At 61.7% G+C, this 14,829-nt stretch overlaps 1 protein-coding gene and 1 non-coding gene across 2 annotated transcripts in view; both read right to left on the reverse strand.

Moving 5' to 3' along the window:
* PIEZO1 (piezo type mechanosensitive ion channel component 1 (Er blood group)) overlaps positions 1 to 14,829 on the reverse strand; it is a 69,883-nt gene that overhangs the window by 595 nt on the left and 54,459 nt on the right. Inside the window, exons 23-50 of the mRNA NM_001142864.4 lie at positions 11,625 to 11,729; positions 11,107 to 11,260; positions 10,783 to 11,026; positions 10,615 to 10,711; positions 10,352 to 10,523; positions 9,663 to 9,752; positions 9,484 to 9,587; positions 9,077 to 9,148; positions 7,939 to 8,039; positions 7,294 to 7,396; positions 7,163 to 7,219; positions 6,905 to 7,077; positions 6,651 to 6,757; positions 6,286 to 6,465; positions 5,876 to 6,134; positions 5,606 to 5,794; positions 5,234 to 5,498; positions 4,684 to 4,816; positions 4,453 to 4,600; positions 4,137 to 4,351; positions 3,870 to 4,028; positions 3,642 to 3,789; positions 1,091 to 1,279; positions 874 to 966; positions 627 to 799; positions 429 to 551; positions 266 to 345; positions 1 to 187 (exon numbers count right to left, since the gene is read on the reverse strand). Coding sequence (NP_001136336.2) covers positions 1 to 187; positions 266 to 345; positions 429 to 551; positions 627 to 799; positions 874 to 966; positions 1,091 to 1,279; positions 3,642 to 3,789; positions 3,870 to 4,028; positions 4,137 to 4,351; positions 4,453 to 4,600; positions 4,684 to 4,816; positions 5,234 to 5,498; positions 5,606 to 5,794; positions 5,876 to 6,134; positions 6,286 to 6,465; positions 6,651 to 6,757; positions 6,905 to 7,077; positions 7,163 to 7,219; positions 7,294 to 7,396; positions 7,939 to 8,039; positions 9,077 to 9,148; positions 9,484 to 9,587; positions 9,663 to 9,752; positions 10,352 to 10,523; positions 10,615 to 10,711; positions 10,783 to 11,026; positions 11,107 to 11,260; positions 11,625 to 11,729 — 4,120 coding nt within the window. The remainder of the gene's footprint in view (positions 188 to 265; positions 346 to 428; positions 552 to 626; positions 800 to 873; positions 967 to 1,090; positions 1,280 to 3,641; positions 3,790 to 3,869; positions 4,029 to 4,136; positions 4,352 to 4,452; positions 4,601 to 4,683; positions 4,817 to 5,233; positions 5,499 to 5,605; positions 5,795 to 5,875; positions 6,135 to 6,285; positions 6,466 to 6,650; positions 6,758 to 6,904; positions 7,078 to 7,162; positions 7,220 to 7,293; positions 7,397 to 7,938; positions 8,040 to 9,076; positions 9,149 to 9,483; positions 9,588 to 9,662; positions 9,753 to 10,351; positions 10,524 to 10,614; positions 10,712 to 10,782; positions 11,027 to 11,106; positions 11,261 to 11,624; positions 11,730 to 14,829) is intronic.
* MIR4722 (microRNA 4722) lies at positions 346 to 405 on the reverse strand. Its single transcript, NR_039873.1, has one exon. It is a non-coding gene; the product is annotated as a microRNA 4722 (primary transcript).

The raw sequence follows: 14,829 nt of genomic DNA on the forward strand, positions 1-14,829 counted from the left end.
CCGTAGCCAGCCAGGAAGCCGAGGCTCGGTGGGCTGACCTTGTCACTGAAAATGACCATGGGCAGCAGGTTGCAGTCGGTCCGGCACTCCTGCAGCTCGATGACCCACCATTCGAGGAAGCCGGTGGCCCCCGCACCCTGCTCCCTCCGCAGCTGGATACGCACGCCGAGGTAGTCGGCCTCCTCATCTGGGATGGAGGGAGAAGATCGTTGAGGCCGCAGGTCACCCCTCTCTAGCCTCCCCCAACCCCCACGCCCATACTCACTGGGCTGCAGCTGCTTCACAGGGTTGGCTTCGGGCCCGTTGGGGGCACGGATGTACTTGGGGAAGAGATTAGGGATGACCCTGCAGGGAGGTGCTGGCAGGTCAGGCCTGGCCCAGCCAACCTGGCACAGCCCTCCTGCCCACCACCCGGGCCCTTCACTCACACAGACTGGTCCGAGGTGCCCTCGAGCAGGCTGGCCAGCTGCCGCCGTGCAGTGCTGTTGGGGGCCAGGGCCAGCATGTGCTTCTCGTTGGCATACTCCACAGTGCCTCCCTTCGCCAGGTCCCTGGGGGTGGGAACACAGCGTGACCCACTGTAGTGGGTCCACCCACCCAGGCACTGCCCCAAGTCCAGGACGAACCTCTGGAAGTTCCAGGTGAAGCGCAGGGTGATGTCGGCCGTGCCGTTGTAGAGCTCCCGCTTCATCTGGGCACGGCTGGGGGGACTGATGCGCCACAGCGCCCCGGAGCTGCCCTCAATCTGCGCCGTGACGATGTCCTCAGGGCTGTACTGGCTGATGAACTGCATGGCCAGCTGGGTACAAGTGACACCCTCAGTGACTGCAGCCGCCTCCCCACACCAGCTTTCACAGGGCAGAGGCCACTTACCGGCTGGGGGTCAAACTGCCGGGACAGCTCCTCATAGGCCTGGGCCGTGAAGGGGATGATGGACGGCTGCTGGGCGCTCATGGTGAACAGCGGCTGGGGCAGGCACGGGGACACGGGGCCACGAAGATGAGCGTGGAGGAGCGGCTGGGGGTGGTGCACCACCTTGGCCAGAACCCCCAGGGGATGGGAATGGACAGGCGGACCCACACATGCTCACCTCATAGCCGCCCAGCTTCAGGGTGACGGTGACATCGATGGGCTGGTTGACAACCCCAACCACGGAGCGCACCAGCGACATGAAGAGCAGTGGGAACCAGATGATGGCGATGAGGAAGAGGATGATGAGGCCACCCATGCCGTACTTGACGATCTTCTTCTTCTTCTGCCCTTTGGGCTGCGGGTATTTCTGGAGGGGAACGACACAGGTCATACGCTCAGCTCTGCCCTTCCTGCGGGTCACACAACCGCATTCTCCAGCTCACCCAGCAGCCCAGAAAAGCCCCAGCCTGACCTCAGTATGGCACAGCGGTAGTAATGGTGGGCAGACACAGGCCAGTGGAGTAGAACTAAGAGTCCAGTTGGAACCCTCATGTTCAGGGGTCGTTGATCTTAGACAAGGGAGCTGTGACCGTTCAGTGGGAACGGACAACCTTTTTCAACACGGTGCAGGCACCGCCCCAGGCAGGAGAATGAAACGCAACTCCTGCCTCATACCATGTGCCAAAATTTACCTCAAAGTGGATCAAAGAGCGAAACTTCAGAGCTAAAACTATAGAACTTTTAGAAGAAAACGGGCAAATCTTCATGAACCTGGATTTGGCGAAGGAAACAAAGTAAACCAGATATTACCAAAATAAATACTTTGTGCTTCCAAAGACACCAAGAAAATTTAAGAGACAGTCCATAGAATTGGAGAAATTTTCTGCAAATTTTAATTGATAAGGTTCTAGCAACCAGAGAATACAGAGAATTCTTCCAATTCAGTCATTTCTAGCCAATGTATCTGCAGAAAAACAGAAAAAACTCTAATAAAAAACAACCCAACTGCTGGGTGTGGCGGCTCACACTTGTCATCCCAGCACTTTGAGGTCAGGAGTTTGAGACGAACCTGGCCAAAAATACAAAAGACTAGCCAGGCCTGGTGGTGCACACCTGTAGTCCCAGCTACTCGGGAGGCTGAGGTGGGAGAATCGCTTGAACCTGGGAGGCAGAGGCTACAGTGAGTGAAGGTCATGCCACTGCACTTCAGCCTGAGATCCTATCTCAAAAGCCCAACTAAACTATGGAGAAAGGATTTGAATAGACATTTCCCCAGAGAAGATACACAAATGGCCAAGCACATGAAAAGACGCTCAGCGTCGGTCAACAGGGAACTGAGAAGAGCCCACAGCAAGCCACCCGTTCAGCAGCATGGCCAGAACAAAAAAGACATAGTAACAGGTTGTTGAGGATGTGGAGAAACCGCAACCTCGTGTTGGTGGTGGGAACCTTAGATGGTGGAGCTGCTATGGAAAACCAGCAGCTCCTCATGATGGAAACCACCACCAGCACTTCCGGCCCTGGCGTGCAGCCACAGGACCAGGGGCACGGGCACACAGACGTGTACACCGGCGTGCCTGGCAGCATCACGGGCAACAGCCCATCAACAGATGAGCATGTTGTGGTCCATCCATGCCACAGAATATCATTTGCCCATAAACAGGAAGGCCATACTGCCACGTGGGTGGACCTCAGAGACACCATGCTGAGCAAGGAAAGCTGATTACAAAAGGACAAACGCTGTCTGAGCCTGTTTTCATGAAATATCCACTGTAGGCAAATCTCATAGAACCAGGACCTAGACAAGGGGTTACTAGGGGCCAGGGGAGGGGAAACCGAGTGACAGCCAATGGGCACTGGGTTTCTTCTTTTTACTTTTTTAGAGACAGGGTCTCACTCTGTTGCCCAAGCTGGAGTGCAGTGGTGTGATCAGGCTTAATGCAGCCCTGTACTCCTGGCCTCAAGCCATCCTCCCACCTCAGCCTCCAGAGTAGCTGGGAGCACAAGTGTGCACCATCACACCCAGCTAACGTTTATTTTTTTGTAGAGAGAGTCTCACTCACTATGTTGCCCAGGCTGGTCTTAAAACTCCTGGCCTCAACTGATCCTCCTCCTTTGGCCTCCCAAAGTGCTGGGACCATAGGCATGAGCTGCCATTGCCAGCTAATTGTTTTATTTTTACATTTGCTGAGGCAGGGTCTCGCTTGTGGCCGTGCAGATCTTGAACTCCTGGCCTTGAGCAGTACCTCCCTCCTGGGTCTCTTACAGTGCTGGGATGATAGGGGTGAGCCGCTGTGCCCGGCCCGGGGTTTCTTTTTGAAGTGGTGAGAAGGCAGATGCTCAACTGTGAATCCACTAGAAACCCCTGAGTTGTACTTTTTACGTGGGGGAGTGGTCTGACGCACGAATTCTCTCTGAGAAAGGCCATTAAACAAGAATGCAGCAAACAGTGGCTGTCCGGTCCTCCCTGCACCAGGCCCTGCTCTGCTGCCAGCCTGCCTGGAACAGGACCAACTCCGCTGCCCACTTCTGCGCCCAGCACTCACTCGCAGCTGCCAAGATCACTGGCCTCGTGATCAGCTAGTGGGTGGGCTCGCCTCATGTCCCCATGGGCTCCGAGCCCTGGGAGGGCCTCCAGCACCACGGGTTCTCGTGGCAGCAGTGCCTCTGTCTTAGGGAGAGGGCATATCCCTGGCCCTTGTCCCGGCCCCCGCCCTGGGCCCAGGCACCTTCTCTGTCTCTCGGCTGCATTTGATGATGAAGATGTTGGCATAGATGTCCTCCACACACATCCAGCTGGACAGGGACAGCGTGGTGTCCGTCCACACCCAGTCCATCACTGCCCGCAGCTCCACCAGGAACGGCACCAGCCGGAACCTGCCCACAGCCAGGGTTCCCGTCAGGTGGGCTCCCTCATGCCCGGGCCGTGACCCCCACCCCGGCGGACCTGCACTCACCCCTGGAAGAGGAAGAGGTTGAGATGATTGTACTTCTTGGTGAGGAAGTTGCCGAGGATGCGGGTGGGGTAGCCGCAGCGGATCTGGTAGGCGGACAGGGCGAAGTAGATGCACTTCACGAAGTACCAGAGCTGGGCCACCACATTCTGGTTGAACATCCTGGGGCGGGATGGCCAGGTCAAGGACCCCATCAGAAACAGCCCCGCAGGGCCCCCAGCCTGCACTGCCCCGCCCCTGGAGACCGAGCGCCCCCACGCGTGGGCCCACCTCTCAGTGACGGCGGGCAGGATGAAGAACATCCATAGGTGGATGGCCAGCACCAGCGCCACCTGGAAGGCCAGCTTGCCCAGCACGGTCTTGCGCAGGTAGAGGGCGCGGTCAACCACCATGGTACTGAACTGGATCAGCAGCATGACCAGGAAAGCCTCGGGTACCTGGTCGTCTGATAGGGAGGACGTGATGTCTGTGGCCGCCGAGTGCTTCTGTGGCCAGGAGAGCACAGGTCAGGGGGAGCCAAGCCCAGGGGATGTGGGTGGCTGCTGAGCTCTGCGTACACTGGGTTTGGGTCCCGGGCCTGGCTCACCCCAAAGGCCCAGAAGCCAAAAATGATGATGATGAAGTCGACAACATCAGCCAGGAACATGAGGGCATAGACGTCGGTGGCTGCGCGGTACTTGGTGTGCAGGATGTCGTGGAAGAAGCGCCGTAGCGGCCGATATGTGCCCTGGGCCCTGCGGAAGGGGGCGCTCAGCCTGGGCCCAGTACCCGCCTCCCCACCCCCACTCCCCAGCTGCCCCCGGCCGCCATCACTCACAGGGACAGGCAGAAGCCCTGCAGCCGCCGCCCGGCCGCCCTTACTCTTCCTCCAGAGCGGCTTGGCCTCTTCTCTCTCCCCGTGGGGGCCTCTTTCTCTTCCTCCCCCTCTTCTTCCTCCCTGTCCTCAGCTTCTGTAGGGAAAAGCTGACTTCTGCCTGGGCCCCCTGGGGACTGGGCCTGGCTCATGGCTCCTGACCACCCTAAGAGGCTGGCATTCTCCCTGTTTGACAGACAAGCAGACGGAGCACAGGAAAGCTCCCAGTGTCACTGGCAAGGAGACAGCTGGGGCTGTGTCCTCTGTCTGGGGCAACTGTGAGGGGCCAGCCCAGGCCAACAGTCACCCTACACGTGGGGAGCATCCCCGGGGGCAGCAGTCAGGGACGGCTCTGTAGGCAGAGCCGGGAGCTGTGGCTCAGAAGTGGCACCTTCCTGGGATCCAGGTGGGCCTCGCACTGGGCTTGGCCGTCTCATCTGAGAAAGACCCTCCCTGCAGTAGCCCCACTCAGAAAACTGGGTAGGCAGGAGGTTGTGAGGCAGGGCGCTTATACCGATGGCTGCCGCTCCTTTCCGTGCTGGGCCCTCCTTCTTCCTTCTTCTAAAACGTAGACTGATGCGCCTCGTATCACGGGGCCTGAGCTCCACTTGGGGTTCTGGGGTCCCGTCCGTGGGTCCGACCCTGGCTTCCACCTGAATGTGGTCTTCGGTGGTGGCCGCAGGCACCCCTGGCCCCTCCTCGGCTCCCTGCTCCTCCTCGCCGCTCTTGTCATGCTCCTTGGATGGTGAGTCCTCCTCATGGTCCCAGAGGCCATAGCACTGAGGGGCGGGAGGGTGTGGTGAGGGGGCCTTGCCTCCCTGGTGGAGAGCACAGGTGCCCAGAGGGCCTGCCCAGCCCCGCATTGCCAGCCAAGGCTCACACTCACCAGCAGCTGGGAGCGGTGGAAGAAAAGGGCCATGAGCTGCACCAGGTCGTACTTGATGTAGCCGTCAGTCTTCTCCAGGCCCAGGATGCGGGGCGGGAAGTAGGGCTTGTTCTCGTAGCGCCGCAGCACCACGTGGCTGTTCCAGGGGAAGAACCCAAACTGGAACAGGTACTTGACGACCACCGCGATCTGTGGGGGAGGGGGCTCAGCACGCGGGGAGGGTCACGGCGCGGTGGGCCGGGCGCCCCCTCCCCCGCGGCCTCGGCCCACCTCGGTGAAGACGATGGCCGTCATCCAGAAGCGCTTGCTGGGCCTCGGGATCGACAGCATGGCCCACAGGAAGACGAGCACGGGCAGCACCAGCGAGCCGGCGGAGGCCGTGACCATGTGGTTGAGGATGATGATGAAGTAGCAGAGCAGCTCCGAGTGGGCGGCCACACACTGGTACACGGCCCGCAGCAGCCGCAGCGCCCGGCCCTGCCCCTCCGCAAACAGCTCTGCCTCCTCCAGCTCTGGGATGCGCAGGCGCCTACAGGGAGACCCGCGTGTTTGGGGGAGTCTGGGACTGCCCGAAGGCATGACGGCCCGATCTGTTGCCGGTCACAGTCAGTCTCCTGCCCCTGTTCGGCTGCTCCCCGAGGGCCATGGTGAGGCTGGTGTTGTGCGCGTCCCGCCCCCACCTGTCCAGGAGCAGCTCGCTGGCCGTCCGCATCAGTCCCTGGTACAGAGAGGCACCAGCCTCACGCTCCCCGGGGTCGGTGACTGCCTCCTCACTGCCACTGCGCGTGTGGTAGCCGGTGCTCAGGGGGCTGCCCATGTCGTCTGTCATGCTGCTGAGTGGCTCCTCCGCGCCCAGCCCACTGGGGAGGGAAGCCGAGTCACAGAGAATCCTGCTCTATGGCCTGACCCCAGGCTACAGGGAGGGTCAGGGTGGAAAGTGCCCACGGTCCTTTGGGGTACAAGGGAATGGCGAGGGTCGGGGATGGCTAGGCGATGCCCACACACCAGGGGCAGCAGCTGGGGCTCGGGTCACCCCCGCACCTACCTGGACACGGTGCTTGGGGCATTGGGGGCCTCGGTGGGGCCTGGCAGCGTGGCCTCGGCCTGGCTTGTGTACAGCTGATCCAGCACGCCCCTGTGCACTTCGCCGCCCTGCAGGGCACAGCAGGGGGCTCAGGGCTGCGTCCAGCTCTTGTCCCCACACGGGGTTTCGTGCAGTGGGCGCGGGACTAGGCTGTTAAGCAGGCAGGGGCGTAGTCAGGCAGAGCAGGGACGAGCGTGGTGCACGGGCAGGCTCACCTGCAGGAGCTCCTGTGTGAGGAGGTAGCGCTCTGCCCGCAGCACGTCGCTCATGGTGCCGTGGTGCCGGGTGAACTCCTGCAGCCAGCGTGTCAGCTCATCCACTAGCGCCTGCCCCAGCATCCACAGGAACTGCGCCGTGCTCAGCACCCTCTGCACCACATGGCTCCGGCCTGCGGGAGGGCGGGAGGGGGCGCTGGAGGGGCAGCCTGTGGGGCCAAGAGAGACCTCCCACTCCCCAGCCCCGGGCCCACGTACCTGCCGCTGCCTCCTCGGGGCCCTCTGCTGGCTCCACCTCCTGGCTGGGACCACCTCCTGGGCACAGGATGCTGGTGAGTGACTGGCAGTCCCGCGGCTTCCCCTCAGAGTCCCCACGCCCCCCAGCTCACCTGTGGGTAGCTGTCCTGCCTGTTCCTGCCTTGCCTGCTCCTGCTCCTGCTGCCGCCGCCTCAGCACCGCCTGGGCGTTGGTCACCCATGCCTGGTACGCCAGCTGTCGGCCAGCCCCCGGGTTAGGACCCGGCCTCCCGAGCCATCAGACCCAGGCGGGAAGCTGGGGTTGGGCAAGCCGGGCGCCAGATCCAGATCCCTGCTCTGTGTCTCCCAGGGACCTCCGTGTCCCTGAGCCCCTCCCGGATGGGGACCCTGAGGGGCTGTGGGGGAAGACTCCCACCCATTCAGGAGTTGGGTGGGCTGGTCTAACACCAAGAGCCAGGGGCCCAAAGATGGACCCAGGACAGCCAGGCGGCCAGCACAAAGGTGTTGGGCCGGTCTCACAGGTCAGGCCACGGGCAGCCACCAGAACCTGGGTGGTCAGAGCCAAGACCGTGGGGCAGCAGGCTACACATGACCCATGTCCCTGTAGCCTGGTTTCCCATGGGACTTGGGAGGCCTGGATGGGGCGGGGTGGGCTAACTGGAGGTGGAGGAGCTCGGCTCCCAGGCCCTGGGGGCATCTGACACCCTCTATGCTGCCCTGGTCCAGGACCACAAGCTCTGTGGTTGGAGTGGGGCCGACGGGGCTCTCCCACCTCACCTGGAAGGCACTCTGTGCCGACGGCCTCGGGTCTTCAGGAACAGCCTCCTCCTCTTCCTCACTGTCGGACTCAAACAGGAAGTAGTCCCCGGAGTGGATGACTGTGGGCAGGCAGCACTGAGAGCCAGCCTTCCATGCAGGGAGACTCCCAGCCAGACCCCCTCCGCCTGCATGGGCCAAGGCCCGAGAGCCACCCTTCCCATGCGGAGTAGCCGGGAGCAGTGCAGGCACAAGACACAGGCCAGCGCGGTGGGACAAGACAGAGGTGGGCAGGGCAGCTGAGGAGCAGAGCCAGCGCGGGCTGGGGTGCAGAGTGGGCCGACTGCAGAGGACCGGGGAAAACCCAGGAGGCTGTGTGAGAGTTAGAAAAACAGAACAGGCCGGGCACGGTGGCTGACGCCTGTAATCCCAGCACTGTGGGAGGCTGAGGCGGGCGGATCACCTGAAGTCAGAGGTTCGAGACCAGCCTGGCCAATATGGTGAAACCCCATCTCTACTAAAAATACGAAAATTAGCTGGGCGTGGTGGCGGGCACCTGTAATCCCAGCTACTTGGGAGGCTGAGGCAGGAGAATCCTTTGAACCTGGGAGGTGGGGGTTGTAGTGAGCCGCAATCACGCCATTGCACTGTAGCCTGGGCGACAGGGCAAGACACCGTCTCCAAAAAAAAAAAAAAAAGGCCTGGAGTGGGGCACATGCTTGTAGTCTCAGTTACTTGGGAGGCTGAGGCAGGAGGATCACTTGAACCCGGGAGGTAGAGATTGCAGTGAGCTGAGATCATGCCACTGCACTCCAGCCTGCAGTGACAGAGCGAGACTCCATCTCAAAAAGAAACAAAAACAGAATAACGCAGTGCTGCTGGGTCCCAGGTGAGATCGCTGCTCGACCACCATGTGTCATCGGGGCAAGCTCCGAGACTCCCACTGTTGGAAGGGCTGGGGCATAGCCAGGAGAGGACATAGTCAGCCCAGGGGTCTGCAGCCAGTGAGGCACCCCCCGACCCAGGAGGCCTGAGCACGTCCTGACGCTCAGGGCCTGGGAGTCGGGGGAAGGGAGGGGAAGATAGCAGGCCAGGCAGAGGACAGATGGGGGCACAGAGGGCCTGAGAGGGTGGCCACAGGCGGCCTAATTGGGGGTACCTGTGGCGTGGTCCAGCCAGGGCCGCCACCACTGCCTCCGTGGCGGGGAGGAGCCCCCTGGACTGTCGGGCCCTGTGGAGGGGCAGGGTGAGCATGAGGCAGCAGTCAAGCCACCAGGAGGGGTCGGGGCTGTGAGTGCTCCCGTCTTGGAGACAGGATAGGTGGAGACAGACACGGACACCCACAGTGACGGGGGCCGTGTGGGGCCATGGGGCTCAGAGCCCATGTGCGTGGACGGACAGTCACAGGGCGGCCATGGGGCCTGCCAGACAGAGGGTGATCATGCGGACAGGACAGGCGGGCTGGGAGCCCTGTGGGACGTCACATGGGCACAGACGCAGCACACGCCAGCAGGCACAGACATGCTGGACACGGGGCCCTGGGTGCCCGACTCCAGCTGCACTCACCTGGCTCCAGGCCGGGGTCCTTGGGGCCCAGGGTGTCCTGGGGGCGACTGCGGTCCACCCGGCCCTGCCTGTGCTTCTCCTGCTTGGCACGGATACGCTCCATCCTGTGGTGGGGAAAGGTGGGGTATGCTGAGCATTGGGGGGAGGAGCCGGGGAGTCCCCGCCCCAGAGGCACCTACTGTCTTTTCAGCTGGGCCAGGGACTTCTCCTCTATCCTGCGGTGAAAGTCAATGCTCTTGAGGTTGGCAGCGTTGTAGAGGGCGAAGCCCCTGTAGGGAGGCGGGGATGGGGTGTGAGCACCAGGCACTCGACCCCAGCAACATGGGCAGCCGCCGCTCCCCGCTCAGCCCGGGACAGCTCAGCCTGCTCCTCTCTGCCCACGCTGGACAAGAGGCACCCACGGGGGAGGCATCTGCTGCCCCCACCCTCCGTGCTGTCTGCGGCGAGGACAGGCCCTTCTGCCGTACAGATGCAGGGGCGTCTGGTGGCACCCACCCCACCACAGCTGCAGGGAAGAAGGCAAAGCTGGCCCCAAGCCAGAACCCCTCCCTGGGGCAGTCGTGACACCACACAGTGGCCCTCCCGCTGGTGGAGAAACTTAGCCCTTAGTGGGAAAGTTGGCTGGGGGTGAGACACCAGCCACCGTCAGCACTGCAGCCTGTGGTCTCTGACAGACCCAGCACTGGGGCAGAGTGTGATGGTGCCGGGGATCTGCCGGCCTTCATTCTCCCTCTAGATGACACGCCCATGTCACAGAGTGGCAGAGCCTGCCCTCCACGGGCCGGGGCCTGAGACAGTGAGGAACCTCCCATTGCCCCCTCCCAGCCCCAAGACGGGAGCTCTGGGCTGTGTCTGGGCCCAAGCTTGCCTGGAGGCTAGCAGGGCGGTGGCCTGGAGGTCGGCCCTGACGTGCAGGTAGTAATGGCTAAGGAAGACGCGGCGCTGCAGCAGCAGGAAGAAGAAGCAGACGCTGTCCCAGATGATGCCAGCCTCCTCCACAGGCAGCAGGCAGTCCTGGTCTCTGTCCATCATCTCCTTGGCTGCAAGGCAGGCACCGGCAAGGGTCAGGCCCAGGGCCCAGGAGCAGGGGGCTTCCCCACGCCCTCCCCCGCCACCGTCCTGGCCACTCACGGTCATAGTAGCCCTTGACGGTGCATACAAGGCTGAAGAGCTGGATGACCCAGCAGAAGCCGGTCTGCATCTGCTCCACGAAGACGCAGGCCAGGAGCTGGGGGAGAGCAGGGTCAGCGGGGCCAGCGGGGCCCCAGGGCGGTGGGTGCGGGGGGGCCGGAGGCTCACCGACAGCATGTTCTTGGAGATGATGACGGTGACGTTGTACAGAATGAGGCAGTCCCACAGCACGAGGCGGGCCCGTGTGTCCCTCTGCAGCAGGGCCGTGCCGAAGAGCAGCAGGTAGAAGCAGGCCAGCAGGTAGCCCAGCCCGAAGATGCTGATGCGGGTGGCCCCCGTGACAAACACCACCACCAGCACCAGCCAGAACAGGTATCGGAAGACGGCCACCTTCAGCATGTCAAGGTAGGACCTGCCAGGCCGGAGCGTCAGGGCGGGCGCCCCGGCCACCCCTCCCAGAAGGTTCCCCGTGGAGGGTGACGTGGAACCCACCTGCAGTGGATAAAGTTGGGCACGGGGTTGGGCTCCCCCCGCAGCGGCTCCAGGCGGTCGGTGTTGACGCCAGCCATGCGCTGCCACTCCTCTGTGCGCTCAGCTGAGAACACCTGCCACTGCTGGGAGGCGCACAGCAGCAGGAGAAAGTCGCCTGCAGGACACAGGAGCCGCCGCTGTGCCACACGGGGACCCACACGAGGTGGGCACGGCGCATAAATCCCACCTCCCACCCCAGGCCTGTCGGCGTGCAGCCGCTGGGAGCGGACACACGTCTGCCTGGGTGAGTGGCCGGGTGTCCCTGGGGGAGCCCCGGTGTGAGGGCATCTGCACAAGGGCTGCCGTGCACACAGGCTGAGGTCTGCGTGCGTGCGTGCGAGGTCAGGGCCTGCAGGCCGCCATGTGCCTGACCACACCTCCGCCCGTGCACGCCTGTGTGCACACTTGTGAGCAGATTTGGGGGCGTGAATGTACTCTGAGGGTCCTCTGCAGAGGCGGGGGTGGTGGGGGGCACTCACTGATGAGGTTGGTGGAGTTGGGGGCCCGGAAGAAATCAGGCAGGTACAGCCACTTGATGAGTGCGGAGTTCATGGGGACGGCCCGGCTCCAGCGCCAGGGATAATCTGGGGGAAGGGGTGTCATGTCAGGAAGGGCCGGGCCTGCCTGGGGCCTGAGACACCCGGTCCCCACCCGTTGACCCGAGTCTATCACCAGCCCTCAGGGTCCATGGGAATCACCTCGCGCACACCTGGTGTCTCGAGAACTGACAGCTCTAGTGTCCTGTGTGTTCACACACACAGATTCCTTCAACTCTGCACCAAGCCCCTGGGGGCAAAGGAACTGAGCAGGAGGCCAGAGAGCACGGGGGTGGGGGCTGCTGGGCCTGAGTTGTGGCCCACACGGCGTCATATTCCATGATAGGACAGTGCGTGTGATAGGACAGCTCTGAAAACAACGGCCAGAAGCTGCACGGACGCCTGCAGCCAGGAAAAGTTCAACCTGCAGCAACCACAGCTGGGAACGCGCTGCTCAGCACGTGGGACCGGGATCCATGCGACAGCCTAGACAGACCTCAGTGTGCTCTGCCAAGTGAAAGAAGCCAGACCTAAAGGCCACCTGCTGGGAGTCCTGCTGACGTGGCGTTCTGATAGGACCACGTGCTGGGGATGGGAGCGGCCGGGGCCTGCTGGGGAGGGAGCCGTGGCACTGCCGGCCCCCGGCCACACTTCCTGGGAGGCGTGTGAGGCAGGGAGGGTCGGTCCCTAAGGACTGAGGGCATGGATGTGACTCCACGCATCTGCGAAACCCACAGCCCCATCTGCCACAGAGGGAACCTCGCGACACAAAAACAAAGTGACCCTCCATGCTGGGGAACCCAGGACATGCTGAACTCACAGCCCCATCTGCCACAGAGGGAACCTCGCGACCCAAAAGCAAAGTGACCCTCGATGCTGGGGAACCCAGGACATGCTGAACCCACAGCCCCATCTGCCACAGAGGGAACCTCGCGACCCAAAAACAAAGTGACCCTCGATGTTGGGGAACCCAGGACATGCTGATCTCACAGCCCCATCTGCCACAGAGGGAACCTCGCGACACAAAAACAAAGTGACCCTCGATGCTGGGGAACCCAGGACATTCTGAACTCACAGCCCCATCTGCCACAGAGGGAACCTCGCGACACAAAAACAAAGTGACCCTCCATGCTGGGGAACCCAGGACATGCTGAACTCACAGCCCCATCTGCCACAGAGGGAACCTCGCGACACAAAAACAAAGTGACCCTCCATGCTGGGGAACCCAGGACATGCTGAACTCACAGCCCCATCTGCCACAGAGGGAACCTTGCGACACAAAAACAAAGTGACCCTCCATGCTGGGGAACCCAGGACATGCTGAACTCACAGCCCCATCTGCCACAGAGGGAACCTCGCGACCCAAAAACAAAGTGACCCTCGATGTTGGGGAACCCAGGACATGCTGAACCCACAGCCCCATCTGCCACAGAGGGAACCTCGTGACCCAAAAACAAAGTGACCCTCGATGCTGGGGAACCCAGGACATGCTGAACCCACAGCCCCATCTGCCACAGAGGGAACCTCGCGACCCAAAAACAAAGTGACCCTCGATGCTGGGGAACCCAGGACATTCTGAACCCACAGCCCCATCTGCCACAGAGGGAACCTCGCGACCCAAAAACAAAGTGACCCTCGATGCTGGGGAACCCAGGACATGCTGAACCCACAGCCCCATCTGCCACAGAGGGAACCTCGCGACCCAAAAACAAAGTGACCCTCGATGCTGGGGAACCCAGGACATGCTGAACCCACAGCCCCATCTGCCACAGAGGGAACCTCGCGACCCAAAAACAAAGTGACCCTCGATGTTGGGGAACCCAGGACATGCTGATCTCACAGCCCCATCTGCCACAGAGGGAACCTCGCGACACAAAAACAAAGTGACCCTCGATGCTGGGGAACCCAGGACATGCTGAACCCACAGCCCCATCTGCCACAGAGGGAACCTCGTGACCCAAAAACAAAGTGACCCTCGATGCTGGGGAACCCAGGACATTCTGAACCCACAGCCCCCATCTGCCACAGAGGGAACCTCGCGACCCAAAAACAAAGTGACCCTCGATGCTGGGGAACCCAGGACATGCTGAACCCACAGCCCCATCTGCCACAGAGGGAACCTCGCGACACAAAAACAAAGTGACCCTCGATGCTGGGGAACCCAGGACATGCTGAACCCACAGCCCCATCTGCCACAGAGGGAACCTCGCGACCCAAAAACAAAGTGACCCTCGATGCTGGGGAACCCAGGACATGCTGAACCCACAGCCCCATCTGCCACAGAGGGAACCTCACGATACAAAAACAAAGTTACCCTCGATGTTGGGGAACCCAGGACATGCTGATCTCACAGGATGGCGACTGCATGGCGCAGCCGCGTGGAAGGAGGCAGAAGAAGGGGAGCTGGCCTAGGTGACGCTTGATAGCAGGTATTTCAACAAGGAAGAGGTGGACAGGAGACGGGGAGCTGGCCTCGGTGATGCTCGAAAGCAGATGTTTCAACAAGGAAGAGCTGGAGGGCCCAGAGGCTGAGGCAGCCCTGTAGCAACAGGCACACCCAGCGCCCAGACCCCGGGCTCTAAACCTCACGCTCCTAGAACTCGATTGGGCTCCCTGGAGCAATGGCTGTGAGCACAAGGCTGGGCCTGGGTAGCAGAAGATGAGGCAGCAGCGCCTGGGAGCAGAAAACAAGACGGGGCCGGGCGTGGCAGCTCACGCCTGTAATCCCAGGAGGGAGGCCTGTAATTTGGGAGGCGGGTGGATCACCTGAGGTCAGGAGTTCAAGACCAGCCTGGCCAAGATGGTGAAACCCCGTCTCTACTAAAAATACAAAAATTAGCCGGGCCTGGTGGTGCTTGCCTGTAATCCTAGCCACGAGGGAGGCTGAGACAGGAGAATTGCTTGAACCCGGGAGGCGGAGGCTGCAGTGAGCCGAGATTGTGCCAGTGTACTCCAGCCTGGGTGACAGAGCAAGACTCCATCTCAAAAAAAAAAAAAAAAAAAAAAAGGGTTCTTGCTATGTTGACCAGAGTGGTTTCAAACTCCTGGCCTCAAGGGATGCTCCTGCCTCAGCCTCCCAAAGTGCTGGCATCACAGGCGTGAACCACCATGCCCAGCCAAATACGGGGAGATGATGTAACAGTGTGTG

Source organism: Homo sapiens, chromosome 16 (assembly GCF_000001405.40).
Source record: "Homo sapiens chromosome 16, GRCh38.p14 Primary Assembly".
NCBI classification, from domain to species: domain Eukaryota; kingdom Metazoa; phylum Chordata; class Mammalia; order Primates; family Hominidae; genus Homo; species Homo sapiens.